The sequence below is a fragment of the Homo sapiens genome, chromosome 6 (genome assembly GCF_000001405.40).
Source record: "Homo sapiens chromosome 6, GRCh38.p14 Primary Assembly".
In the NCBI taxonomy this organism is placed as follows: domain Eukaryota; kingdom Metazoa; phylum Chordata; class Mammalia; order Primates; family Hominidae; genus Homo; species Homo sapiens.
This window is the reverse complement of record NC_000006.12, coordinates 22185560-22212640: the sequence shown is the minus strand read 5'-3', so window position 1 is coordinate 22212640 and position 27081 is coordinate 22185560. Positions and strand designations below refer to the sequence as shown.

The following is a 27081-nucleotide window of genomic DNA, read 5'->3' as shown; positions in this document are numbered from 1 at the left end:
AGACAAAGAGATTGCAATGTAAGAATTTTGCTGGGGTGCCTGGGTTGTTATTTTTAGCTGTCTTTGATTAGGTATTACAAGAGTAAGAGAAGCTCAATAGAATTTTGATGAAAGTATGGAGATGATCCTGGGATGAAAGTATATAGAGGGAATCTAGAAACTTCAGTTCTAGCAGAACTGGAAGATGCAGTTAATTTTTTTATCTATAACCAGTGAGAGAAAAAATTAACTGCTTGGGCAACAAAACTTATACTATATCTCAAGAAAACAACGAAATCTTTTGTATGATCATCACCTCCTTAGTTAAACACTGTGAATGGTTCAAAATTGCCCATAGAAAATCTTTTATTGGGGGAAAAATGCTTAGGATAAAGAGAATGTACACATGGCTCATCCAGGAGGCCAGTAAACTCAAGATAAATCTAGAGAGAGAGGAGTATCTCAAAAAGAATTGTGGGTATAGCTTTTGGCACATAGAACTGTTTGGACACAAAAGTTTGACAGATCGTACAGTCATCTCTCAGTATCCATAAGGGATTGTTCTAGCACTCCTTCCAGATACCAAAATCTGAGCTGCTCAATTATTTACATAAAATGTCATAGTATTTGCATACAACCTATGCACATCCTCCTCCCATATGCTTCAAATCATGTCTAGATTGCTTATAATGTCTATTAACAATATAGTATAAATGCTGTTTTGATGGTTGTTCTACTGTATTGTTTTGGCAATAATTACAAAAAAAGTCTACATGTTCAGTATAGACACTTAAAAAATATTTTTGATCAGTGGTTGGTTGAATCTACAGATGTACAGTGCACAGATCCAGAGGACTGACTGTACTGGCAAAAGTTTCACCAACCAAGAGTAAGAGACATTATGACAAATTAAGAGTTAAAAGAATTTGGGGGGCCCAGAATTTCTACTATGAGTTACTATATTAATAAATCTGCTTAGTACCTAAAAAGGACATATTCTCCAATGTTCCCTTCAGATATTCAAGAACAACAGTGGAACAGGAAGAACACCCCAGAAAATAAAACCAAGAGCTGTAGAAACCAGTGAACTGAGCTCTCAGACAGCAGAACTGGGGTTTATCAGGGAATTTCTTTTTTGTTACTGCAACAAAGCTAACTCAGTCTATTTACTGAGAAACCAGAATACAGCTATAAGATGAAATAGTTATATACATCTGTTAATTAGTTTTAACAACATATTAAGAATCCCTGATTTAAACAGATTTTACTTTAGCCATATGTAAGATTGACTAGAGTAAAAATATGTAAGAACTGGATATTTGCAACATTGTCAGATATTTAAATATATTGAATGATTAATTTTTTTCAGACAGCATCAAAACTTTTAAAAATAAAATCAGTCTAAAATTAGTTTTCATTGGCCTTAATAAACAGAGGGAAATTTTTTCCTTGTAAACAGCATGTCCAGTTTTTATTGTTTTATTCTAATCTCTCAATCTTTGTCTTATCATTGGAGAATTTAATCCATTCATATTTCATTACTAATACATTTGGTTAAATCTACCTTTTTGCCATTTGTTTTTATTTATTATCTGTTCCATTATTTACCTTTCTGGCCTTATTTTGGATTAATCAATTTTGTTTTTATCATTCATATGTTTACGCTCTCCTTTCCTTTCTGCATCTCTGTGCTTCCTCCAGATCAATATTCTACTATATGAAGAATATAGAATTTGTGATGGTGAAAAGTTCTCACCTTTTGTCTGAATGTGTTTTCATTTTGCTTTCACATTTGAAGTATATTTTCCCTGGATATTGAGTTATGGGTTGGCACATAATCTCTTTCCATAATTCAAAGATTTTATACTACAACGATCAGACTCACTTCATTTCTGTGGAAAAGGGATTCATCAGTATCACTGTTGCTTCCTTTAATGTAACTTTTTACTCCAGTATTTTTAAAATTTCCTCTTTGACTTTTAAAAAGAATCAATTTGACTATGAAGTGCCTAGATGTAGTTTCTCCTAGGTGCCGATACTCTTGCTTGGAATTCATGGAGTATCTTGAACACTTTTGATAAGTTTGAAAATTCTTGGTCAGTATCTATTTACATATTATTTTTGTTTCATATGACTCTTTAGATATTTTCCATATCTCCTCTCAGTGCTTCAATATGGTCATTTTATATTGACTTGTCTTCCTGTTTATTAATCCTGTTTTCCTTTGCATAATTAATAGAAACAATCTACTAAATTGTTAATTTCAGATAATGTATGTTTCAGTTCCAAAATTCAATTTGATTCCTTCTTACAGATTTCATGTCTCTGCTGAAAAGATCCATTTTTCATGTTATTTTCTCGAATATACTATTCAAAATTATTTTGAAGACTCTGATGACTTCAGTATCTGAATCACATTACAGGCAGTTTCTCTTTTTTTTTTTTTTTTTGAGATGGAGTCTTGCTCTGTCACCCAGGCTAGAGTGCAGTGGCGTGATCTTGGCTCACTGCAACCTCCACCTCTGGGTTCAAGCCATTCTCCTGCCTCAGCCTCCCGAGTAGCTGGGATTACAGGCACACACTACTACGCTGGCTAATTTTTATATTCTTAGTAGAGATGGGACTTCACCATGTTGGCCAGGCTGGTCTCAAACTCCTTAGCTCAAATGATCTGCCTGCCTCGGCCTCCCAAAGTGCTGGGATTACAGTTGTGAACCACCACGCCTGGCCTGGGTTGTACTATATAGTATGCCTCAATTTAAAAAGTTTTGGTAATAGACCTATGAATAAAAAATTTTGAGGCTCTGGATAATGACCCCTTCATCTGAAAAGAGAAAATTTTTCTGTGGCAGACAGAATATAGGCACATCACCCTGATCCTGTGATAGGTTTGTTCTACGTTTATAGATAGGTTTTTCCCTTACCCTTTGGTATAGACCTTTCTCCTAAGATGTGGCATTTCCCAATTCTCAGACAGAAGTCTGAGGTAGTTACCAGGGTCCGTCCGCTTTAGCTGACTCGAAACTCCAATATTTATCCCCCTAACAGTCACAACTGCTCAAATCTTTGCTGCTTTCAGCATGATTTTTTTTATTTTGTACATGTGCAACATAGATATAGCAACATTTGACCTCATTTTATTACAGTTTTTTCCTCTCTAGATATTGGCCTTCATGTCCTAGCAACTTTGACAGCCCCAAGTTACAACCTCTGTCTTCTTAAGTCAATGATACTATTGTCTTCTGCTCAGATACTATTCCCCCAACGCCATGATCTGAAAAATGCCCTTGAGGAAAATGTCAGTGTGACTGTGAAGCTCATCTTAATGTGCTACCCTTCCATTGGTAATTGTGGCACCTTACATCCTTCCTGCATTAGTTATACTCCAATGGCTTTGACCTTCTTTTTTTAAAATTTATCTAGCTTTTCACTGTGCTTGGCAAAAGTGTTAATGTGATACAAGGTACTCATTTTTGGCTGAAACAAGAAATCCTCTCTGAATACTTTTAAGATTTTCTTTTTGTCCTTTGTTTTGCGTATTGTATTACGGTGTGCCTTATTTTGGTTTTCTGTTTTTTCTACATTGGGTTGGTAAGGCTTTTTAAATTTGTGTTTAGATGTGTTTCATCAGTTTTTGCTAATTCTTAAACATCTTTTCTAACATTGTTTTGGTGCCATTTCCTTTCTCCGCTTCTAAGATTTTACTTACATATATATTAGACCAATTCACTGTTTTTCATATATTTCTTCTTTTACAAATTTGTATCATTTTCCAGTCTTAGTATTTTTTTTTTTTTACTTTCAGAGAAAAGGAACAGAAACAGACCTATAATCCCAGTTGTCTGTTAAGCTATGTCTAATTGGCTATTAAACCCCTATATTCTGATCTTGATTTCAGTTTTTTAATATTTTTCAGTTGTTTGCTATTATCCTTCATTTTAGCACATAATTTCTTAAACATGTTAATCAGTCCACATCTGATAACTGCAATATCTGGATGACTTGTGGGATTACTTTTATTATTTTTTATTATTTCTCCTTATTTGTGTTCAATCTATTTAGTCCTCTGGTGTGCCTAATTATTTTTTATTACATGCAAGGCATTGTAATAAAAACAAACTGGAGAGATAATTTGAGGCTCCAGATGATATTTTCTGAGATTTGGGTTTAATTTTGCTTCAGATATTCAATTAAGTTAAAGCAAATCACTTTCGTTTGATGGGGTATTTTGCTGTTTGAATCTGGGTTGGAGTTGTTATAGATGCTCTTCTATTTTCTTTTCACTTCTCTTTCTATTGTGCAACTTTTTTGAGGCTCCAGACAAAAACCTGGGGTCTTTCCAGGTCCCTTTATATTGGAAGTCCCAGAAATTTAATTTTAATCTCCTCAGCCCTGTAAGTCTGCTAGAGTTCTGCACAGCTTGTCAGCCTCTCAGCTGCTATTTGCAAATGACCATGACCATGTCGAAACAAAAGGGGAGTTATGATGTGTTACTGATTGTGTTATAGATTTCTAAAGTAGGCAGAGTATAAAATTTTAGCTGAGATTAGGATAACATTTGTTACTATTTACCTAAAATAATTTCAGTTTACATCTGTGGTTCTGGAGTAATAATTAACAAGTGCTTACTTTTACTCTCAAAAGTATCCCAGTTTAAAATATAAATTCACCCTGGCCATAAATACCACTTAAGCTGTACAGAAAAATGGATGAGGACATACAGGAGTGAAGACATTTCAGGAAGAAAAAAGACCTGTCAAAGACACATAGGAATGAAGCCATATGCTATGCTCATATCCTGCAAGAAGTACAGCAGTAATGGAGATTAATATAAGAGCAATGAGTAGAATTAGGTCTGAAGACATAGCAAGGGATTGGAATGTGATATGATTTGGCTGTGTCCCCACCCCAATCTCATCTTGAATTGTAATCTGAATTGTAATCCCCACATGTCAGGGGAGGGACCGGGTGAGAGGTGATTGGATCATGGAGGCTGTTTCCCCCATGCTTTTCTTGTGATAGTGAGTGAGTTCTCATGAGATCTGATGGTTTTATAAGTGGTGGTTCCCCCACACATCCCCTCTCTCTCACCTGCTGCCATGTAAGACGTGCCTGCTGCCCCTTCCACCATGATTGTAAGTTTCCTGAGGTCTCCCCAGCCAAGCAAAACTGTGAGTCAATTAAACCTCTTTTCTTTATACATTACTCAGTCTCAGGCAGTTCTTCATAGCAGTGTGAAAACGGACTAATACAGAGCATGAGAGACATTGAAGTAGGTTGTATTTCTGGAGGTAACCGGAAGTTATTGACAGGCAAAGGTATCACCAAAGTAGATTTTGGAGGTAATTATAATAACTCATATGAGAGATGATGTTGAAATGAACAAAAGCATGGGGGATAAAAAATGAGATGAGAGAACAGATAAAAGGATCATATAGGAAGTAAAATCAAATCACATCTAGTGACTGACTGAGGTATAGAGAAAAGATAACTTGGATGACATATACAGAGACAAGGATGACTCTACCCAGTCTGGCTTGAGAGATTATATGAATGAGAAGAGCCTAAGGGAAATTAGTTGGGGAGGCATTACAAAACAAAAAGAAAACAATCCTGTCCTTATTTCTGCAACAGGAGCAAACTGGCATGAATGTTTCAGAGCATCTATTATTATGGAGAAGTGAATACCCTCAACTTAGGGACATAGTTCTTTTTCTGGAAGGACACTGTACTCACTTGGGCTGCCATCATAAAATACCACAGACTGGGTGTCTTACACAACAATTTATATTTCAAAGTTCTGGAAGTAGGCAAGTCCAAGATCAATGTATAGCTGTCCGCTAGGTTCCGTAGGGCTCTCTGCCTTCTTGCTGTGTCCTCCCACAGTGGTGGTGGGAGGGGGATGATCTCTTTTCTTCTCCTTATAAGGTCACAGTCCTATTGGATTAGGGCCTCACCCTTAAGAACTCATTTGAGTTTAATTATCTCCTGAAGACCCTATCTCCAGATACAATCACATTGGGGGTTAGGGCTTCAATGTATGAATTTGGGGGTTGAGGGAGGATACGGTTCAGTCCACAGCAGACACACTGCAATCTTTTATTTTGTGATCCTTTCCAAGTTGTTTCATGTTTGTGTTTGGTTAAGCCAGTAAGGAGCGCTGATAATCCAGAAGATCCAGAAGAGAGAAATCGAACAAACCCTTTTTATTGCCTTCTGAAAAGGCAGCTGAAAAACACAGATGTTCATGCTTTAGAGGCTAAGAAGGTGAAAAAAAAAAAACACAGCAAGAAAGAAAATTAAAAACCTAAGTCAATATAATCATACTAACAGCAGGGAATGGCATCATCTTCCGATGCCTGCTGTTACTGATGGAACACTTGCCTGTCAGAGGCGATATCTGAGCAATTGTCCTAGGCATTGGCCTATGAGTGGGCATTAGAACTGGCTGTGGCAACGTACCTGCCTAATGACAGACCCACTGTGCAGAAAGTCCCCTGGATGCCTCACTGTTTCTCTTATTCATTTCATTCTACCCTATGAGATATTCATTTTTAAAACACTTTTATCAAAGTATATTTTAAATATAAAATCTGCATGTTTTAATTATACAATTCAATACATTTTAGTTTATTTACAGAACTGTACAATCATCAATCAAATTATAGAACATTTCAATCACACTAAATAGAAACCTTGTGCCATGTACAACCACTCCTCACTCCCTCTCCCAGCCCAAGTTAACCACTCATCTACTTTATGTGTCTAAAGATACTCACTTTCAAGATGACATTGAAAATGCACAGCTTTCTCACATTTCATTTTCTTCCCTATGTATTTAGCCTTAAAAAACCGAAATAAATGAATGATGGATTTGATTCCAGCCCCAGGGCCTTGAACACGGGAGTCTGTTTTTTTACCAATAGAGATCCTTCATGTGGATGGTGACAAACCAATGGGTTGAGCCATTGCTTTCCATTTTTATTCTAAGACTCAGATGTAATGCTGCTGCCCAAACTGAGGAGGTGGGCACCCTACAGGGCCCTGAATTGCAAAGCCAATCTGGCAGTTCTGTTTATAAAGACAAATGAGATACCAGTTTGTTAGACCCCTGTTTCAGTTCACCAAAATAAAAATCAGTGCACAGGAAGGAAAAGAGGGAAACCTGCCTAGGGGCTCTGCCTCCGCACATGCATAACCTTTGCTCTTCCCTCCATTGTGTAAAATATGCCACATCTTCTAGTTTCACAACCATGAAACCATGTGTGTCTATAAGTTCTTGACATTTCAGCTCATCTGGTTGACCATATTTCAGTACCTGGTTAACAGAGATTTTGGAAGGTGTTGGATCTTCTAAGCATTATCTAGTTTTTGATATTGTTATCACCAAATAAATACTTACTGAACACTATGCATTAGGTATCAGGAGATGAGAGAAGTAGCAGGCACAGGTCTCCACCATCCAAAGTCTAACAAACTAAGAAAAGATGATTTCATCAGCAAAGTTCGATAAGGGCACTTGAAAAGGGAGTAGAGTGAGAAAGTATACCAGTCTTGAGAGAGGAGCATTCATATTTCAAAAAAGAATACTCAATGTTAAAATTGCCATGATTGGTTTTTAATAATATTTAGTACATTTTGAAATTCTAAGAAATATTGAAAATGATGAGATTTTCATATTTATCAAACATGGACACAAGTTTTTCAAATTTATCACTAAATTTGTACTCATTAAGTAAACAACAGCACAAAATTCATCTTTTGAAAGAGTTACAAGCAGTAATGCTATGAGAGCCCAGAAGAGAGATTACTTCAAATAACCCAAGAGGGCTTCATGGAGGATGTGATGTCTGAGATGGACAATTGAAGTTTGAGTCACATAGGCAGATAGAGAGCAGATGTGGAAGCATAGAGCCTGTTTAAGTAGCAGAAGGTGTACAGAATAGCTTAAATAAGATCATTCATATAGATAAATCTGCTCAACCCTTTACCAGGCAGAATGACAAATGGCTGGGTAAGGTGATAGAGGACCCAGGTAAAGTTCACAGCAACTCTGAAACAGCACCAAAAATGAAAAATGGTGAAGGCTTGGGATTCTGCTGAAAGGAAATGGAATGTGGAAGATCGAGGGGGAAAGAAGAGACAGGTTTTAATACCACCAAGATTCCCAGAGTCCATGAATAAGAGAAATGAATACCATTAGCAGAAATAAGGACATAGGATGAAGAGCCGGTTTGGAAGATAATGTGATTGAAGACATTGTAGTGCCAAAGTTGGCACAAGAGGCACACTGACCGCAAACCACAGGGCCCTCGATTCCTTCTGCAGTGTTATTAAGAGAGGCTGTCCTGATATTGTGACAGGCCAGCCTCTCCCACACTCCACGAGCCTGGGTGTGAATCCAGTTTCTCCACAAGCCTGCACATCAAGGTTTGTCAGGATCACTCCCAGCCTCCATTCTCTTTCCCCAGAATAGGAGCTGCTGATGTGAAAGTCGATAGAAACTAGTTCAGATTCACAAACCTCAAGTCCACTTAAATGCTTCTTCTGTTGTATATATTCCTTAATGGACTATACATCCTTGTCACAAAATTATAATTAAGACAAAAAGCAGTTTTCTAGTGGAAAGAACACAAGATTTAGTTTAACCAGAATGGGCTTGGAATACCAGTCCCTCCACTAACTAGCTTTCGTCTGTTTGACCTTAACTCTTCTCACCTGAAAAATAGAACTAATAACTTTCATGTTGTGAGGATTATACTTTTTAAAAACATACTTAAAATATCCGGACTGGTTCCAAAGTATAGCATTTATCCCCCCACCCCCTCTTTCTAGATTAAAGCTTGAGTCTGATACTGAAAGATGAAAACATCAGTCTAATAGTGGGTGAAGAAATTTAGTGGCAAAAGCCACTGGGATAGAATGTGGAAACATGGGATAGAAGGTTCCTAAATGTTTATGGAGTCAACTGTATTTATTACTGATTTGGGCACTTGGTTATATGCTATTTTATTTTCCATGTGTATGTTTCATCATGCCCAAAAAGATTAAAAACTCTTCAAGGGCAGATACCACGAATCATTTGGGTTCTTTGGCTCTCAACACACTGCATGTGTAACATCATAGTCTAAAACGTGTTGTATTCATTTGCCAGGGCTACCGTAACAAAGTACCACAGGCTGGGTGGCTTGAGCCGCTGGTCCCTAACCTTTTCGGCACCAGGGACCAGTTTTGTGGAAGACAATTTTTCCACAGACCACGGGGGTGGTGGAGGGGATGGTTTGGGGATAAAACTGTTCAATCTCAGATTATCAGGCATTAGATTCTCGTAAGGAGCGCACAACCTAGATCCCTTGCGTGCTCAGTTTACAATAGGGTTTGTGCTCCTATGAGAATCTAATGCCACTGCTGATCTGACGGGAGGTGGAGCTCAGGCAGTAATGCTCACTCGCCCACCACTCACCTCCTGCTGTGGAGCCCAGTCCTTAACATGCCACCGACTGGTACAGGTCCACAGCCCGGGGGTTGAGGACTCCTGGCTTAAACAACAGAAATTTATTTTCCCACAGTTCTGATGGCTAGAAGTCCAAATTCAAGGTGTGGCAGGTGTGTTTCTTCTGAGGCCTCTCTCCTTAGCTTGTAGATGGCCATCTTCTCCCTGTCTTCTGTGTATTTCTGTATCCAAATTTCGTCGTCTTATAAGGATATCAGTCAGTTGGATTAGGATCAACCCAAATGACCTCATTCTAACTTAGTTATCTCTTGAAGACCCTAGATCCAAATACAGTCACATTCTGAGGCCCTGGGGGTGAGGACTTCAACATATGAATTTTGGGAGACACAATTCAGCCCACTGCATGTGTTTACCATAGAATAGCTTTTTCTGGTTTGCAAACAGCTGATATATACACCATATCATTTATCATTCAAAACAACCTGGAAATGCAATTTCCAGGAAATAATCATCATTTCCATTTAACAGGTGAGAAAACTGAAGCTCATGGACTAGATCGTTAAACGAGGACTCAAACTCAGGACTTTTGAGTCTAAATATAGTAATCATTTCACCTTATCACATCACCTGTCTGAAATGAGAGGCTGACAGTAATTAGAAACCTAAAAGAACATACCTATGACTTGTTAACAATGTATTCTGTACTACAGAGTGAACAGAAGTCAGGCTACCTTTACCTCTCTTAAAGCAAATGGCAACATAGCAGACATGTCATCAAATGGCTTTGCTTTTGACTAGAATTTGTGCATTCAGTATGAAACCTAATTATTTTATGCTGATCAGAAGCCTTGATTGGCAGAATTATACTCTTTGATATGAAAATAACATCCCATTAGTGAATTTGGTTTACTAAACCAAAAATTTTAATAAAATGCATGGGAGAAGGAAAATAACGAAAGGGTCCTTGATGGTGAAACTCCAGCAGGCAGGAAACCAGTGGCTCCAAGATCCTTTTCATCTCTAAGCCTCAGTGGCTCTTACATCTTTCCACCACTTTGGCACACAGCTCAATGCCAGACACATAGGAGCTATTCAGTATGTTTTGGATTTAATTGAAGCTGATTAAGCTTCAGCACTCAGACACTACACATTATGGAGCACTCCTTAAAATACCATCAAAACTACCTATCTCCAGCCTCTTAACTCTAGAGGTCTCACAGCACTTTGCTCACAAATCCTTAAAACAGGAATGTGAAGTAAGAAGATGAAATGTAATATACTGTCCTCTTAATGGGTACTCATTACCAAATAAGGATATATTTTCACCCTCACTTGCTCTCACTTTCTCTTTGTCTGTCAAAACTTTAAACCTAAAGAACAATTCAATTTTATGGAGAGAGGTCAAGTGTTCTTATTTTCCCCAGTCCCACATTTTAAAGCTATCACTTCAAATGCCTGAGTAATTTCTATTAAACCGATCTCTTTAAATAAAAAGCACCATATAATAAAATATGACTCCTCTGGGACTAGAGATTCAGTTAAGGATTTTCTGTAAATTGATGTGGGTGCTTTCTAACACGTACCTAAAGCAACAAAACCATAGTGGTTGCTGGGTAGAGTTTTGTATCAGAAGTATAGACTGAATTAGACAGTTCTGGCTGACTGTTTCAGGAGTAAGATGAAATCGAAGTGGTGGAAAGATTCCTAAAATCAAGAGTGAGTTCCTTGAAGGCTGGATCAGGTCACAGTTGTATATGAGCTTAGAATATGTGATGAATAAACACGCAAGCCTGGCTGAGGTCACAAAACAAAAAAACAAAAAAACAAAAAAACAGCTGGCACGTTCGGGTTTAAGAAAAATGCTAAGTCAGGAATGTTTATTTGCCAAAGAGCACCCAACTCTTCCCTGCATTTGGGTTCTAGTGACCTTAAGTTATCCCCCCAGTAACCCGAATTCCCTAGTGACCTTAAGTTATCCCCCCAGTAACCCGAATTCCCTAGTGACTTTAAGTTATCCCCCAGTAACCTGAATTCTCTAGATTTTCAGCATTCAGATCTTTATCTTTTCTTAGACCCCAGACTTGCCAAATGTATGCATCTCATTCAAACTAACACAACTAGGTCTTGAAAATCAACCCACTTCTTTGTTATAAATTTTTAAAATGAGATATAAAGAAGGCAGTTGGCCGGGCATGGTGGCTCACGTCTGTAATCCTAGCTTTGGGAGGCTGAGGTGGGCAGATCACGAGGTCAGGAGATCGAGACCATCCTGGCCAACATAGTGAAACCCCGTCTCTACTAAAAATACAAAAATTAGCCAGGCATGGCGGCAGACACCTGTAGTCCCAGCTATTCAGGAAGCTGAGGCAGGGGAACTGCTTGAACCTGGGAGGCGGAGGTTGCAGTGAGCAGATACTGTGCCACTGTACCCCATCCTGGCGACAGAGCAAGACTCTGTCTCAAAAAAAAAAAAAAAAGGCAATTACTAAATACGGAAATAAAGACTTCATTAGTGACAGGGTCAGAACTTCAAGGGGACTTCTACCTCTTAGTTAACATCCATTTCCCTCTGCCTTTCACTGTGGCCCACCAATCAGCTCATACTAAACTCATGCAACAAAGGCTACATAGTTACAATTTATTATGGACCTTAAAAATGAGTACTTTCGCCAAAGAATTGAGTCTAATTTCAACAGATAACTGTAATAGTCTAGGAAGACAACAAATAAGATTTTCAATCCCTCTCCAGTCACGATGTTGGCTCATAATTCTACCTATGTGTTGCTTCCCTGCTGCCATCAGGAAAGCCAAGGGGCTGGTAGCATGAATAAGGTGGTGTTTCAGTGACCTGTAACTCCTAACCCCACCATTGTCATTTAAACCATACTTTTATTTATGGCAGGATAATATTGTGAAATATTAGCTTGTACTCCTTGATCCTTGCCCCATTTATTCAGCTAAAGCATTTTTTATTCATTGCTTTAGAGAAGGCATACCCCAGCAGAAGGCTAAAAGAAAAAGATAAATGGAGTCAATTCTTGTTTTAAAAAGCGTAGTTCTCAAGAAGGAATGGAAAAAAGTAATAGGCAATAGTCTTGAGAGTATACTCAGTAAGGAAAGCCAGGCCATTTTACTCCCAAACGAGACAGTTTCACTACACAGAGGAGCAGAGGGTGGAGGGGAAACAGACTTCTGAGAAATAGCTGGGTTGATTTGGGCATTTGGGATATCTAAAATGAAAGAGGAATGTATTTTTCTACATTTAAACCTAATCTTGCTTTTGAGCCTCTGATCCCTGGATCATAACTTCCGTTTAGGGATTGTTCCCTTTTCCCTTTTGCATCTGTAGAGGAAAATAAATTATCTTCCCCTCACTCATCACTAGGTTCATGTCTGAGGGTTATAAAACAAAGGACAGAATCAACAAGAGAAAAGCAGAGAAACTTATTTAAGTTTTACATGGTACAGGAGACTTTATAAGGAAATGAAGACCCAAAGAAACCGTGAAACCTGTATTTTTTATGCTAGGCTTGATGAAGAAATGGATAGTTGTGGAGAAACAGCATTGAATAAAGGGGCATGATCTAATGAAAACAAACTGGGGGGAACTTAGCAAGACCTGTTTGTTCAGATTCTTCTCTGTGTCCCTGTGTCTTCAGACATAAGGATGTGCCTTTTCTCTTGGTCTAGAAATGGCACCTCCCCAATGAGGGTCTTACGACCTGCTTCAGGGAAAGGTCGGAAAATCCTTCCTAGGCTTTATGACCTGTGTCACATGAGAAGGGTGAGGGGAAAGGTAGGATGACCTTCCTGGAACCTCCCTTGCAAAGATTATGACAGTGAGAGAAATCTAACATGACTAACTCCATCTTGCTTCTAACATCACAGGCTGGCTGTCTTTGCTCATTTCTGGGTGTAGGCCAAGCTAATTATGGGAGGAATTTAGTTTACAGCTTAACTTTGAAGCAAGGATGATAATAGCACCTCCCTAAAACTGATCCCCTCCTTGCTTGAGGGCAGTTACCAAACCACCTTTATAAGACTAACGAAAGGCCACAAGATTAGGATTATGGAAGAGGCCTGAGTGCTGATAAAATGTAGGTTTAGTTTCTATCATCTCTTACTGCTCAGAAGTCATGGGGCCAAGAGGTCATATAATTTATAACTTTCCCAATTGCTCCTACAGGTAATATCACCTATTTTGAACCTAAGATTGGTCTTTTGAGATGTTTTTCACACTGACCCAACCCAGCCTCGTGACTCATGACTCAATGGGTCCCATGGCCTCCCACCCAGAGGTGACTCAGCACACAAGGACCATTTTCCACACCCCTATGATTGTATCCCCAACCAATCAGCAGCACTTACCCCTAATCCACTGCTCACCGAACTATCCATGAAAAACCCTGACCTCTGAGCCTTCAGGGAGACTAATTTGTAATAACTGTAATTCTTCCATGTGGCCAGCCTCCTGTTAAACTCTTTCTTAACTGCAATACCATGGTCTCAGTGAACTGGTTTTGTCTGTGCACAGGGCAGGAAGAACCCACTGGGCAATTACATTCCTGCTTCTGTTTTCTCAAATTCCTTCAGCCTAAAAAATGATGGGGTAGCATATCCTGAATGTCATAACACCTAAGTTTTAGGGGATGATATAGATCTAAGGTATCAAGGATGTGGGGCCATGCAGGAGTTTGGTCTTCAGTGCACCAATGTAGCCACACTAGCATCTTTCTACACTGGCATGCATCCACACTAGCTGAGACTGGGGTGCCTTCTTTTACATTCGGTCCTCTGTGCATTCTTTTCTACTATACAGCCTTTTAAGTTATGACTCATTCTCAAGTATTTTCAGGCCACTTTTGATCATGGGGAGAACCATCCATTTATTCTTCATTTTGTGGCTCCATGGAATACTCTGGGGACTCTCTGAGACTCCATTTACCTACTCTGTCACACCTGTGACATTGTAATAGAAGAAGACATATATATTTGGTCTTTGTTCCCAGTTCCTGGTGCAAGAGCTTCTGAAACCCTTGTAACTGTCTGAGTAATAGGAGAAAGAGAAATGTCTTTTGATATTCATAATAAGCCCCTTTCAATCACATCTGAGTTTGCTAATGGGGTGACTCTCGGTGGGCCCTGTATTGTTTCACGATGAAGCCTGGTTGCAGAGGAACCAACCCTGTGATCCGAGGGTTGGAACTTAGCCTCACCTTCCCACCCCTTCACCTTCAGAGAGGGAAGAGAGGCTGGAGATTGAGTCAACCACCAATGGCCAGTGATTTAATCAGTCATACCTACTTAATGGGGACTCCATAAAAACCCCAAATGATGGGGTTCCAAGAGCTTCTGGGTTGGTGAACACATCCAGGTGTGGAGAGGGTGGCATGTCCTAAGAAGGCATGGAAACTCCGAGCCTTCAGAGGCACAAAAGCAATATTAGGTTTAAACATGGAAAAAGAAGTTACATGTCTGTCTCACCTGAGTTGATGTATTGAAGTCATACCTTTTAGATATTTCACACTTTTTAAAAGAAATTACTTCTGTTTTTCACATTTGCCTTGTGTAAAACTATTATAGTCATCATGCTGTACTTGAAGTTAAAACCCTCAGGCTATACGATTATAAAGTTAATAAGTATTAAATGGAAACAGGTAAAACCAATTCATACTGTTTTATTCACTAAAACAGTCTTGTGATAACAAAATATAGGGTTGTGGAGTTTTTTTTTGGCGGGGGGGGGGGAGTCAAACTGTTTTTTACATTCATAACATTCCTTTGGTATAAATATATCTGAGGACCTATTTTTTCTCGGTCTATAGAGACCATTCCTTGTCTTTCTTTACTAAGTTACAGCTTGTCATGGCATGCTTTTTTCTTGTTAAAATATTTATTTTTGTTCTAAAGTTGTTGAGGATAGTAGGATATTTATGCTTTAAAATACTAGGGTGTACTTGAAATGAAATAAAATGCCTAGATTCAAGCTCCAAGCTTCAACAATTAGGTAATTTTATTAGTATTAGGCAAAAATGAACAACACTTACGTCTACCTTGGGTCAGCTCTATGTTAAAACAAAAATGCTACCATATTAGCTTGGATATATAGCCCTCCCCAAAAGGATGGCAATTAGGACAATGTGCTAAGTATATTAAAGCAACCCACCCGCCATGAACAAACACAAAAGGTCCAGCATATGAACTGTAGTCCCCCGTCAAGGTGTTATAGGGTTACACAATTAGAAAATGCCACTATCCTTTTTCTACATTCAACAAGGCCACAAATATATAGATGATTCTATTACTATTGCTACAAATGGCAAATGTCATCAATAAACAAGCAATAAAAAGCAAAGGACTGCCTAACTAGATGGAGAAATTAGAGCCAACACCCATGCAAGAGTAATGAAGGAAGAGGAAGCTGATTCTTGGGTTTTGTCTTTAATATGTTTTAACTTTATTTTTATACTTTTATCAGCTGAGGTTTTAAAAACCTATTACTTGAGACTTTAAAAGCCCAATATGAAAGTATTGTCAAGACAGTTGGAAAAAGAAGGTAAAAGCTGACCAGGAGTCATTTTTCTCATTTTTAAAAGAAATAATTAGATGATTGAATCTTGGAGATCTTTTTCTAGATTTTTTTTTTTTTTTTTTTTGAGACAGAGTCTCGCTCTGTCACCCAGACTGGAATGCAGTGGTGGCACAATCTCAGCTCACTGCAACCTCCACCTCCTTGGTTCAAGCTATTCTCCTGCCTCAGCCTCCTGAGTAGCTAGGATTACAGGTGTGCACCACCACACCCAGCTAATTTTTATATTTTTTTAGTAGAGATGAGGTTTCACTACATTGGCCAAGCTGGTCTTGAACTCCTGACCTCAGGTGATCCGCCCGCTTTGGCCTCCCAAAATGCTGGGATCACAGGCGTGAGTCACCAGTCACAAAATATCTCAAATTTTGTGATTATTACATCCCTGGCCTACTGTTACCATCCCATATCTTTCTTCCATCACGCTCCGTGGTAAAGAAGAGTTTCTGACCCAAATATGGATAAAATACACTGTGGAAGACTCTTCCTTTTCTACCTAAGAAGCTGAGTGGATGCTGAAATATACACAGTACATAAGAGATGCTCTTTTCAACCATTGTGTGTGGCATAATGAGTAACTTCAAAGCCAGTTCTTCTTAATTTAGGAAAATAACTCTGGAGACTTCTAAGGTAGAACAGGATTTTAACTATCTGAAGAGGCATGAGTTTAGCAGAAGACAGAAGGAAATTCCAGGGCATTAAATTGTGCATTCAGCACCATAAGAAACAGAATCAGAGGGCCCTGACAGAATACACAGTGGCATTCAAAAACAGGTCACAAGGATCAACTAGTCTGCAACTATCATGTAAAGATGAGAAAACAAAACAAATCCAAGAAGTTTATTGCTGACACTAGAAACACACATTCCTCTAAGAGCAGCAAACTTTCTGTACAGGGTCAGTCAGTACATATCTCAGATGTGGTGAGCCTAGTGATCTCTGTCACAACTACTCAACTCTGCCATTGTAACCCCAAAGCAACCATAAACAACATGTAATGAATGGGTGTTGCTGTGTTTCTATAAGATTATTTGCAAAATCAGTCTGAGGACCAGATTCCGCCCACTGGCCATATTACACCAACCCTGAACTACAGAATATTATTCTATGTCTCTGTTCAGTGTTTCACTCATCACAAATTAGGGAAAGCAAACTATTCTCCCAGTATAAGCAAAGTGGCTTTTGGTGCTTCTCCAGAATGGCTTGAGATAGCCCTTTAAAAAAGTAGGTATATATTTTCAGACAGTCATCTTTGCCACTTACATGCAGAGACTGCCTGGGAACAAAGATAATGTAAATAAAACACGAACCAGTCCCAAGATTTTCCCATTTCTGCTGAGCCATACCACAACCTTCTCAGTTATGTGCTTCATGTACTTTTAGTCAGGTCTCTGTCACTTATAACCAAGAATCCTAAACAATCAGCTAATCGAATTTCCACTTACCTGAGAACTACCACTTAGATTATTTTACCAGTTAAATTATTTACCATAATTTCTATGTTTTATTTTGACTATGTTTAATGCCAATCCTTCACAAATTTGTTACATACTTCTCCGTAGGCTCAAGCAGAGATTAACATTTTAAAGTCATTTAAAGAATAATCAGCATTATAAATAAGTAATAGAATGATATTTTACATTTGTATAGAACCTTGAAGTGTAAAATATTCCTTTTTTTTTTTTTTTGAGACAGAGTCTCACTCTGTTTCCCAGGCTGGAGTGCAGTAGTGTGATCATGGCTCACTGTAGCCTCGACCTCCCAGGCTCAGGTGATCCTCCTGTCTCAGCTTCCTGAGTAGCTGGGACCACAGGCATACATCACCACGCCTAGCTAATGTTTTTTTCTTTTGTAGTGACAAGGTCTGTGTTGCCCAGCCTGGTCTTGAATTCCTGGGCTCAAGCAATCCGCCCACCTTGGCCTCCCAAAATGTTGAAATTACATGTATGAGCCACTGCCCAAAAATGTAATCAGCCCTAAAATAGTCTTTAATTATAAAATTATTTCTTACTACTACAGCATTGTGAGACAGCCAGGGAGTTAGCCAGGAAGTTATTACTGTTCCTATTTTATAAAGAGAGATCACTTAATTCTAGAACTCCCTCAAGGCCTCCCATAGCTAATAAATAAGACTAGAACTTGAGTCTTAAGAATCTTAGTCTACTGCTGTCTTACCTACACTTCCCTTTTCTGTGTGGACAACAAAGTATTCTTCTGTGTCTTTTTTTTTTTTTTTGGTCATTTCCTTTTTATCTGTCAGGCAGCCAGCTCTGACTTACTCTCTGTTTCTGTCATCTCTCCCCCACATACCAACTTCTTCACCATGATGATTATACCAATAATACAGTTCCTTATATGAGGGGCTCTGGAAAATTAGACAGTGAAGCATGTTGCAGATTACATGTTAAACAGGTCTAATTCACAATGAATGACAACTTGAGACAATATGAGACAGTTTTCAGACAACAGTTTTGTGGCAGGTAGGGGACTCCTTTCTCTGCATACTCTTCTTGGCTGAGGTTGTGTTGCACTGGCTGAGGTTGCTGAAACAGTGGCCCATGGATGGAGATGTAGAATCTGCAGGAATATTATTGCACCATGAGTAAGTGAGGATACCCATAAGACTTCCTTAAATACAAAGGATGATATACTTTGAGCTCTGAATTTTAGAAAACCTAAGCAAAGATCTACACAGGAATGCAGCTATGACACTGGGATTTATTTTTCCCTTGGAAAATGAGGGATCAGTCTTCCAAACTAGCATTATAGAAAGATCCTGGCACACTTACACTATCTCTTCCAGTTCTACAATTCAATGAATTGCTCCCAACTCTTCAGTGTTGGGACAATTCAGCCTCTCTTTTCATATTCATTCCTCTTTGGTTGTTGGAAGAAGACTGAATTTTTTACTTTCATGAAAGCAATTTAATTTTAGAATTCCTAGGTCTGAAGAGTTTAGTTATCTGGGTCGCAAGTGTTTAACTGTTTGGCAAAGTGCTTTTTATTTCTCTGTTGGATAAAAAATACATATAATTTAAATTTACCTCTCAATTTAATTTGATTAGACCTGGGGAACCAGTTTTTTTGCAAATGAATCCAGAACACTCCTGTTCCAGAATTCCAGGATATTGAGTAGATAGATGATAGGTGTATTTTTTCTTTTTTTTTAATATATATATATATATATTTATTATACTTTAAGTTCTAGGGTACATGTGCACAACGTGCAGGTTTGTTACATATGTATACATGTGCCATGTTGGTGTGCTGCACCCATTAACTTGTCATTTACATTAGGTATATCTCCTAATGCTATCCCTCCCCGCTCCCCCCACCCCTGCTAGGTGTATTTTTTCATGCGGTCCTTCAGTAATCATTGTCAGTGTCATCATTGTCATCATCATAGTTAAACTGAGTGCTTACTCTGCTCTGGGTATTTATTAAGCAATTGATATGTTGAGATATTACTACTCTCTAATTTTCAGATTTGATTGTCAAAATAAGTGTCCAGTTCAGAAACACACATTGCAATTAGTTATCATGTCTCTCTAGATGCCTTCATTAGTTCATTAGTCTTTCCCTGGCTTTCAAAACTCTAAGACTTTTGAAAATTACCATCCATTTATTCGGTAGAACATGCCTCAATTTGGCTTTATTGTGCTTTCTCATGATAAGATTCAGATGATGCATCTGACAGGAATATCACAGATGTTTCTCATTGCATTCTATCAGGTGGGTGACAAGTAATTTTGATTTATGCTATCACTGACGATGTTCACTTTGATCACTCAGTTCAGGTGGCATCGGCATGTTTCTCCATTCAAAATGTATTCATTTTCCCCCTTGTGATTAGTAAATATTTTGTGGGGGATAGATTTGAAAGTATGTAAATATCTCATTCATTCCAAATTTTCAATTTACTCACTTACTTTGATAATGATGGACTTAACGGTTTTGTACTTTAATGAGCGGTAATACATTACTATCGTTTACTTTGATGGTCAAATTATTCCCAATTTGGCTTATGGGAGCTTCTTCAGGATGATTTTTGCGCCCTTTTGACACGACTCCATTATTTTTTTAAAGGACTTCCTTACTTTCTGGTATAAAATGCTTGATATTGTACTCCCTCTATACAATGTACTCCCTCTATGAAATCTGGTCATTTTCCCAAGAAAAACTCTCTCTTTCTGGTGAAGACCAGTATTTAGAAGCCAAGATATGGATGCTAAATGTGCTAGTTGCTATCGCAGTGGATATGTTGCCAGCCTATTTCAGTGAACAGAGCTAGGTATTATAAAACACACATACACCCACATACATTTACATCTCCATGTATTAATATAGCTCATTTATTACAAATTACAAGTTCACACCAGTACCTTCAACTCCATAATTTTCTCCTTTTTTATATTTGTAATTTGCTTCTATGACAGAAACTTGGCTCCTCTCACCCTCAATATACTTACTTGCCTATTGGATCAGTCTACCATATGTAACCAATCTCTCATCTCGCCTCATCACCCCACTTGGGGTCTGACATTTATGCTGGGTGACTTCTAGCATAGATACTCTCCTATCCTGCATAAGCTTTCATGCCCCACAAGAAACCACCCCTTCACAGGGATGCCATTCTCACTCCTCTTGATCTCTGAAACCACGTGATGAGTGACCTCTTTGGTAGTGTGTTGAATAGTGGCACATCAAAACACATGTCCACCCAAAATCTCAAAATGTGACTTTATTTGGAATAAGGGTCTTTGTAGACATAACCAAGATAAAGATCTCAAGATGAGACCATCCTGGATTAGGGAGGGCTCTATATCCAATAACAAGTGTTCTTATGAGAGTCAGAAAAGGAGGCAACACAGACACATACAGGGAGGAGCCCCACGTGAAAGCAGAAGCAGAGATTGAAGCGATGTGCCTACAAGCCAAGGAACTCCAAGGATTGCCAATACCCACCAGAAGCAAGGAGACACAGTTCTCCGCTGGAGTCTTCTAAAGAAATCAAGCCTGCCCATACTTTTGATTTTGGCCTTCTGGTCTCCAGAACTGTGAAAGAATAAATTTCTGTTGAATGAAGTCATCAAGTTAAACATAATTAGTTACAGCAGCTCTGAGAAATTAATACAGAGTTTGGTACTAGGAGTTAGCACTTGGACAAATATTTTGGGGGTCCATATTCCAATCCACTCTACCTCTAGATACCTGCCTCACTCAGCTTGTCCTCCAAAACCCCACACCAGCCTGTCCCCACATGTGAACATCCTTGTCACCCTGCCAAGGCTCTGACAGCCCTTGACAGGCTGTGCCCTATCAGTACTGACCCTCTCGGGTCTGACATGTTGCTCTGAGCCACCACAACTCCCCTCCTCCTCCCTGCTGGAGACTCCTACCTTGCTCTGCCCATTTCAAGGCTTAGAATGGGATTTCAGAGTTAGAAAAAGAAGAGAGGAGAATCCCATTAACATTTAACCTCAATGCAAATTAAGCTTCGTAATAAACAGTATCACTCACACTTTTTTTTTTTTTTCCCACAGACAAGGTCTCGCTCTATCACCCAGGCTGGGATGTAGTGGTGTATTCATAGCTCATTGCAGCCTCGAACTCCTGGGCTTAAGTGATCCTCCAGCCTTGACCTCCCAAAGTGCTGGGATTACAGGCACAAGCCACTGTGCCCTACCATGCTTACCTTTTTTATTTTCCTTACAAAACAAAAGTACAAGCTCTTTCTAAAATAAAGTGAAAAGTGTCAAAATTATCCCCATTTCCTAATGCAAGGAAAAAACATACAGTGTTCTTGGCAGAGAAAGATAGGAATTCTTTTATAAAATAGTTATCTATCTTATTTTCAGTGTAGTTGATCTTCATTTGATCTAAGCAAATATGACATTTTAGTACAATAAATGTACTCATAAGACCCATGTACTGAATTGAATTCTTCAGAGATAAAACACTTTGTCAAGAAAAAAAACAAAAGTCAAAGTGGCTTCAAAGGTTGTCTCTCCCTCTTTAAGCTTCTGGGATTTTTTTGGCATCATCAAAAGAAATGCCAAGATACAATAAATATACCAACAGGATAAAACACAAGTTTGTTGTAAAACCATAAACAAAGCATGATTATCACAGGGGGATCTTAGGTTTATGTTATTATACTCTAACAGTGAAGTTCTTAATTAAAACATTCTACAAGTTCAGGGTTATTAAGGACATCTGAAAGCCCTGAAACAAGGGGACAAAATGGAAAATAGAGCTTATTCCAGTCCCACTATTTCCAACAGAACATTTTAGGAAAGCTTTGAGCATTAGCTGAAACACAGGGAAAAATAAAGACTTGAAAACTATTTCCTGAAGTTTATTTTTTTAAAGTTCTGTTTTTCTTTACATCTGTTGTGGCCGCCGTTCCCAAAGAGAAGTCACCATCCAATGCCAGAATGGAACAAAGTTTATGGGTCTCTTTTGTTATGTAGCACTGAACTACAGAGAAAATTTTATTGCGCATTTGCTGCTTTCAATTTCCCCAGATTGTTTAACAATTCTGTGCTTCTGTGACATAAAAGACAGGCCAGAAACCTGAGGCCGCACTTCTCAGCTCCAGATCGAACATGACATTACAAACCAACAGCGTTTGACAATTTGGCTTGTTCTTTGAAAGCTATCAGACTGTACCACAACCAAGATATAGAAAAAAATAACAGTCTTTGTTAGGCAACATTTGTTAAAAACGCAGTTCCCATTATGCATTGGCAAGTGTTAGCTAGAATTAGTAATTATTAATATTAATGAAATTGGTATGTAAAGGATGCAAGAGGGACTTTAATTCATTGGGGGATAACTCAATACCCTGTGTTCTGTTGTGCTGCAGACAGAATATCTGTGATATGAAATCACATATCAGCTGTGTATTTGGACTTACTGACTTGCCACTTCTTGCCAGTTTTGTAGTGCTAAAGAAAATTTAAAGTACAACAGTCGATATAATCATTTCTCAAGTGGACCTATTCATCTCTCATCAAAAAGAAAAGACATAATGAGAGAAGAGCATTTTTCTGTGTTTGAATTATATTTAATATCATGGGAGATATAAAGATACTGCAGCCTTAAAATCTATAATGTTGCCTGCCGTGCTTTGACAATACTAACTGTAACCTGTAGAACAAATTACAGTAAAAGCCTACGTATTTGGTAGTCCATCAATCAGAAGTTCCTCTCTACTAGCAATTTTGAGCTGTGCCAATATGGTAAAAATTGATATTTATGATTATGGCGGTTGCAAGATCCTAGCATGCATTCTCAAACAAAGTTTAAATTTTGTCAGGCAATTTTAATATATATTACCTGTACTCTAGTGCTTTGAAAAACTGATAATCCACATATATAGTAATCCTGGCCTTTCAACTTTATTGCCATCTCCTAATTTCATGGCCTGATGAGTAACTCTTCTTTGATGTCCCAATATTTCTTCAGGTGTAATTATACTATAGTTTGCATGTATATATATAAATATGTAGATATAATAAACATATTATGAATAATTACACATAATACAGATATATCACCTATTTATATTGCAGCTACATCCTGGGTGTTAGTGTATTCTACGAATGTCACATATATAGTATATTGACTCATTTAACTGTAGCAATTAACTGATATTTAAATGGCATGATTGTAAAAATGAGGCAGAAGGCTTTGTGACTTGCCAAAGATCACATGTCTAGTAAAGTCATAGAGGCAAGACTGAAACTGGATTCCACCAGCATTCAAAGCTCTATTCTTTCCAAGATATAACATATCTCACTATACCTACCACCCTTCTAATTTCTACACCAGATACTTTCAGAATAAGCATCAATTTTTCCTTCTTTATTTACATATTCAGTTTGTAACCAAGTTATCATCTTTTTTTTTCTTGGCTTAATTCTCCCTAGTCCCCAGGCCCACTTTTGCACTCATTGCTTCAAGGGGTTAGATTACTATAGAAGTCTTCTAATCTAGGCTGCTTGCCTCGAAACCCCATTCTGCTTACTGTTTACATCTTAAAGCAATGTCCACTGTGTCATTCCTCAGCAATCTGATTATTTAGGGATGTATGTCTAAAAAACAAACCAAAAATCCTTTCTTTTGAGAAATACATTTTACATTACAAGCTCGTAGACCTAGTAAACATATTTGTGTATTTGTGTGTCTGTACACAAACAGTTGATCCTCATTATTTACAAATTCTATATTTGCAAATTCACCTATTTGCTAAATTTATTTGTAGCTCCCAAATCCATACTCAAAGCATGTTTGTGGTCAGTCACAGACATATGTAGAGTCATGAAAATGTTAGTACCTGACATATGTGTTCCCAGCTGAGGTTGAAAAAAGTGATGCTCTGTCTTCTTATTTCAGCTCAAAAAGTGTTCTTTTCAAGGCCTATTTGATGTCACATTTTTTGCATTTTTGTGCTTTTTTTAATTGGTGATTTCATGTTTAAAATGGCCCCCAAGCATAGTGCTAAAGTGGTAACTGGGTTCGACAGCGTAAGAAGGCTGTGATGGACCTCAGGGAGAAAAATACATGTGTTCGAGAAGTTTCATTCAGGTATGAGTGATAGTGCTTTTAGCCTAGAGTTTAATGTTAATGAATCAACAATATATATTAAATGAGGTGTCCTTATACAGAAACACTCATAAAATAAGGTTATGTATTAATCTGTTGATGAAAATTTTGTGACCAGAGGAACAAAGGAACCTAATCTTGTATTTACACAGGGAGCAATGGTTTTGTAATTACTAATTCGGTGTTGGTGGTGACTTTATAGAATAGAACTACTACACATAACAAGAATTGACTGTATATAACTAAAACAAATGTTTCACAAAAGCCCTTATTAACTGCAAGACACGTTTCTATTTTCCATTTTACCCTATCCCAGTTCATTAAAACAGGTATGTTGGTTGTGACCCAATAAACAAATTTTACAACCTACTAAGGAGTCAAGATCCAAAGCGTAAAGGCTGCTAAACTAGGATGCTAAGCTAGGACCTACTATTAGAAGATAAAACTATTTTAAATTGGTTTTCAAGGCTCTCCACGATGCTGTTTTATTCTATATTTCTAATCTTTCCCATGCCCCATCCCTTGCTGGTCCTGTCAGTCTGGCCAGACTTAGGAGATGGGTGAGGGGCTCAGAAGGCCCTTCGGAAACTGCTGTTAAGTCCTGGTTGAGCCTTCCTGAGCCCTAGGGTCCGGGGTCCCATGTCAGGGAGGATCTGCAGTATAGGGGGCGTCCAGGATGGGGACAGAGAGTGGTCTCCCAGGTTCACCACGTAACTAGAATTCTGTGATGGAGGCCAGGATTGGTCACATGGCAAGATGCATGCTGAATCTTATTTCTAATGCTCTATGCTAATGCTGATTTCAACTGTGTTGGGGGTTGGGCTATGAAAAGTCTTCCTACTTGCTCCTTCTTGTTAAACTAAGAACAAAGCTATAAAATGGCAACTCAAGACCTACTTATTCATTAATTTTAAAAATAAAACCTTAGTGGTAGAAGACCAAGGCCATGTTGGTTTTCTACCACTTCTCTGAAATCTCTTGAGAGTAATTATTTCAAGCTGTAAACTTCCCCTCTGGATTAGATGGGGAGATTTGGGATGGCTGATGTTTATTTTCTTAACAATCTGGTTAAAAAAATCAGTCAGATAGGTTGGGTTCAAATCACTCCTCCACCACAAATAGTAATGTGACTGTGGATGAGTTAAACATGCAAACTCAGTATATCCTCATCTGTAAATGAGAGATAATAATACTAACTACCTCACTGGGTTCTGGGAGAAGTAAATGAGATAATGCTTCAAAGAATGACAGGTAAAAATAATTGCTTAATATATTTTATTATTATCATAATCAGTATTACCATGGGGTCAAATACAAAATAGGCACTTAATAATTTTGTTTGTAACTACATTGCAAATCACTTGATTTTAAATCAACTGGAAACTTTTCTGCTGTTAGCACAGGACAATTCTTCAGGTATCTTTGGACTGACACAGTTACCCCTCTTTTTTACTCATAGTTCTCAAGAATAAATATAGAATATGCTGAGAATGCAACATCTTAAGATAGGGAGAAACTAGCCTGAACAGCCTAGGTTCTGTTCTAATCCCTCATAGAAACAGCATGTCCTTCAACACATTAGCACAGTGAATCATGTTATGCTGGGGTATAAAACCTAGGGTGGAGTGCTTTCTTGGGACCCTCGACTGCAGTGCAAATGTGGCACATGCAGATGAAACCCCATCTGCCAAACTAGCTTTCTTGAGGCTTTTACGAATCATAGGCTTCTGTTGTCCTATCTGTAAGTAATACACTGGCTTCAGGTAACCTGCGTGGAGGAGTGTTCTATCTCACTGGATTAAGACAGGTTGGTAATCAGTAGACAGTGAAACTGCTCTGTAGCCAAGTCATTCTATTTTGGTTTGCATGGTCTTTTCTAAGATAGATAGTCCACTTTCAGCACAAGAGAAAGAATTGGGGAACGCTGTTGAAGGATTCACTTTACCAAACCTTACTGTGTGACAAGCATATCATGAGATTTTATAAACATATTTCTCATGTATATTCACAATTTCTGAGATGTAAATGGCATTAACTTTATTTTGTAAGTAAAGAAGCTGTGGCTCCAGACAAATAAATGGCTCAAGGTCACACAGCTTGCTATTATAATAAGCATATATTCAAAGGGGAGCAAAGAAGAATGGAGAGGAAAGTAATGTGTTTTCTTTCCTTCCAGGTTTCAGCATTACTTTGGTGTTACTAGCCTATCTAACTTTCTTTTGCCCCCCAGATGTTTCAGCACTGCTATACTGTAGTTAGAAATAGTAGAAAAGTGCAATCATTTATAACCAAGTCAGAGATAAGATTTAAAACAAACAACAAAGAGTTTGTATATGGCTTTATGTAACTAAGAGGTAATGAAATTCACATCTTTCAAGATTTAATGTGAGGAGCAGAGCCTGAGCTGACTCAAGCCACTGATTTACCAGCCCCTCACTTCTCCAAAGCGTGG

At 38.3% G+C, this 27081-nt stretch overlaps 2 long non-coding RNA genes across 2 annotated transcripts in view, besides 1 other annotated feature; both read right to left on the bottom strand.

Moving 5' to 3' along the window:
• Positions 1-7575: 7575 nt before the first annotated feature.
• LOC124901275 (uncharacterized) lies at positions 7576-11652 on the bottom strand. Its single transcript, XR_007059494.1, has 2 exons — positions 11400-11652; positions 7576-11360 (listed from the first exon to the last, which is right to left on the bottom strand). It is a non-coding gene; the product is annotated as an uncharacterized LOC124901275 (long non-coding RNA).
• Positions 12942-14141: an enhancer, noted in NCBI's record as "CDK7 strongly-dependent group 2 enhancer chr6:22198729-22199928 (GRCh37/hg19 assembly coordinates)". NCBI's record gives its function as "activates an origin of replication core promoter dependent on BRD2, BRD4, P300/CBP, MED14 and CDK7 cofactors, with strong dependence on CDK7, by STARR-seq in HCT116 cells {active_cell/tissue: HCT116}" and the evidence as "EXISTENCE:reporter gene assay evidence [ECO:0000049][PMID:35650434]".
• CASC15 (cancer susceptibility 15) overlaps positions 16821-27081 on the bottom strand; it is a 529408-nt gene continuing 519147 nt past the window's right edge. Inside the window, exons 11-12 of the long non-coding RNA NR_015410.2 lie at positions 20985-21074; positions 16821-18596 (exon numbers count right to left, since the gene is read on the bottom strand). This is a non-coding gene — a long non-coding RNA (cancer susceptibility 15). The remainder of the gene's footprint in view (positions 18597-20984; positions 21075-27081) is intronic.